Here is a 3060-nt window from a genome sequence, read left to right as displayed (position 1 = left end):
ATCCTCAAGAGGGCTAGCATGTGCTTTTATCCATAAGAGGGCTAGCCTGGACTAGAGTGTGAGAGCAGAAGCTGCAAGGCCTCTTGAAGCCCAGGCTAGGAAGCCATACAAAGTCATTTCTATTGGCCAAAGCTGGCCACAGAGACAGCTCAGATGCAAGGGGAAGAGAACTATACTCTACCACTTGACAAGGGAGTGACAAAATCACATTACCAAGTGTTAGCACGCAGGGATGAAAAGAATTGGGGCCATCATTGCCAGCAATCTACACAACTTCATTACCCCTTTAGAGAAACACTTTCTCTGAGTTATTAGATTAGTGCAAAAGTAATTGCAGTTTTTGCATTACGTTCTATGGCAAAACTGTAATTACTTTTGTACCAACATAATACTTCATATATGTATATCTGTATGTATGGTTATGTACATGTGTGTATATAGATTACATGCTGTAACTCAGAAATATACATGTATGCACACATAGCATACTTGTGCATAAATAAATTATTTACTAATATGTAGGTATGCATTAGTGAACCTATAAACATTTGGACAGGAGTTGTTTGTGGTTGTCTATTATGTTGTCTAAATGCATTTGTAAAAGGATCCATGCAATAAATGCATAAATATGTCTTAGAAGATGTGTAACTCTTAAATAAATAATTCTTTTGTTCAGATAAACAATGCATAATTCATCACTGGCCCTTATTTTGGCATCTAGAAAGCTCAGAGTTAAATGTAATGTCATTGTCCATTCTTGATATTAGCTTAGATATAATTGTCTTTCACTTAGAATTAGTTTCCAATTGCAATTATTTACTTGCTTATTGTTTATGTGTATTTATTATAAGCTACTTCAATCATTTTCAAAATGAGATGAAATATAAGCAAAACATTAAAAAACATAACAATGTGTCTTTTGAAGTATCAGATGTATTTTCATTTTAGAGAATGATAATAATGCACTCTAGAAACTCTGGAGAACCAGTTCACTTTGGCAATGTTTTTAGTCTTAGCTTATGAAATAAAGATAGTTCAAATAGTGGAGAAGAGTGCCCCAGAGAACTACTGGGCTCAAATGCTTATAGTTTAATTCGTTCTATTTCTTCCACTTCACAATCAATCATCTAGAAAAGCCATGATGACTCATCCTTAAAAAAGAGTCATTGATTTTATATCTCCATTTTCAATCTGCTCTTCAATTCACCTCTTTCTCCTTCTAATTCAGAAAGGAGTCTTCATGGAGAAACAAATAATTAATTTGGTTATTGGCCAATATCAGGTTATTCTCTCACATGTGAGAGATATCTAAAAATAAAGCTACTTTTTTCACTTTCGGTTCTTGTCATTATTTTTAGTAAATTTCTGAATTATAAACTCCCAATTCATACCATGCATAATATTTTTCTTTGATTTTCCTTTTCTCTCCAAAAGAATCCAAATATTTCTCCACAACACAATTGCATTTGTCTTGCCCTTTTTAGACTAGAAGTGCAAAGAATGCAAATGGGTATGGAGGCTATACCATTTTAGTCATTTAATTGTTCAATCACACTTCACTGATTCAGGGATGGCTTATCTGGCAAACTCTACCACCCAGGGCACAGTCACCAACCTGTAATAAGCAAAGAATTGCCAGGAAAATGTTATATTACATTCAAGTTGTCAATTTTAAAAGACATGGGAAGATTTCCACCGAAATTGTTTTTTTTTTTTTTTTTTTTTTTTTGAGACGGAGTCTCGCTCTGTCGCCCAGGCTGGAGTGCAGTGGCACCATCTCGGCTCACTGCAAGCTCCGCCTCCCGGGTTCACGCCATTCTCCTGCCTCAGCCTCCCAAGTAGCTGGGACCACAGGCGCCCGCCACTACGCCCGGCTAATTTTTTGTATTTTTAGTAGAGACGGGGTTTCACCGTTTTAGCCGGGATGGTCTCGATCTCCTGACCTCGTGATCCGCCCGCCTCGGCCTCCCAAAGTGCTGGGACTACAGGCGTGAGCCACCGCGCCCGGCCCCGAAATTGTTATTGTTGATGTTCTTATTAGTTTCTGTGCTTTAAAGAGTTATGTTCAATTACTGGGAAATTAATTGATTGCAGGACTCATTCACCATTCTTTGCACAGTTTTTTGTTTGTTTGTTTGTTTTCTTTTTTTTTGAGACGGAGTCTCACTCTGTCGCCCAGGTTGGAGTGCAGTGGCGCGATTCGGCTCACCGCAAGCTCCACCCCTCGGGTTCACGCCATTCTCCTGCCTCAGCGTCTCTAGTAGCTGGGACTACAGGCGCCCGCCACCACGCCCGGCTAATTTTTCTAGTTTTTTTTAAGTAGAGACGGGGTTTCACCGTGTTAGTTAGGATGGTCTCGATCTCCTGACCTTGTGATCCCCCTGCCTCGGCCTCCCAAAGTGCTGGGATTACAGGCGTGAGCCACCGCGCCCGGCCTGCACACAGTTTGATGGAGCGGGCACTACACATCAGGCACTGACTAGGAGCTGGATCCTCTGTAGTGATGAACAAAACAAACACCACTGCCGCCTTGATGGAGCTTGCAGGATTGCAGTGGAGATGGACAGTTACTAAGAAAAAAAAAAAGTAGAACATGGGGGTATAATAGAGAACCCCGAGTGGGAGTGAGGAGATAGAGAGCATGATTATTTATTTAGAGTAATCAGGTAGGGCCAGAAGCCCCCAAAGAGGATGGAGCCAGCAATGTGAAAAGGGGAAGAAGGGTGCAATAGCAGAAACAACGACCAAAGGATTTGAGGTAGGAAAGAGATTGGCAATGCAGAGGTGCTGCAAGGAGGCTGGTGTGATCAGAATATGGGTTAGAGGGAGAACAGAATGATTTGGGATTGAGGAAGAAATTGCTGGATCATGGAGGGTTCTGCAGAATACAGTAAGGAGTCTGGATTTTATTCAAAGTATCATAGGAAGCCTTTGAAGGATTTCAAGCATAGTCACTGGGTAACCAGCTTGAAGTGTTTTGTTGCTCTTTGTGTTTGGTTATATTTGTTAAAAAACAAAACAAAACAAAAAAGCAATGCAGGAATGCTTCTGCAAATGTGT

General features: G+C 40.4%; 1 non-coding gene across 1 annotated transcript; it reads left to right on the top strand.

Annotated features, from left to right (window-relative positions):
- The first annotated feature begins 306 nt into the window (after positions 1 to 306).
- MIR548G (microRNA 548g) lies at positions 307 to 395 on the top strand. Its single transcript, NR_031662.1, has one exon. It is a non-coding gene; the product is annotated as a microRNA 548g (primary transcript).
- The last annotated feature ends 2665 nt before the right edge of the window (positions 396 to 3060 follow it).

The sequence above is a fragment of the Homo sapiens genome, chromosome 4, assembly GCF_000001405.40.
Source record: "Homo sapiens chromosome 4, GRCh38.p14 Primary Assembly".
Classification (NCBI taxonomy): Eukaryota; Metazoa; Chordata; class Mammalia; order Primates; family Hominidae; genus Homo; species Homo sapiens.
The sequence above is the reverse complement of the archived record's forward strand: the minus strand, read 5'-3'. Positions and strand labels throughout refer to the sequence as shown.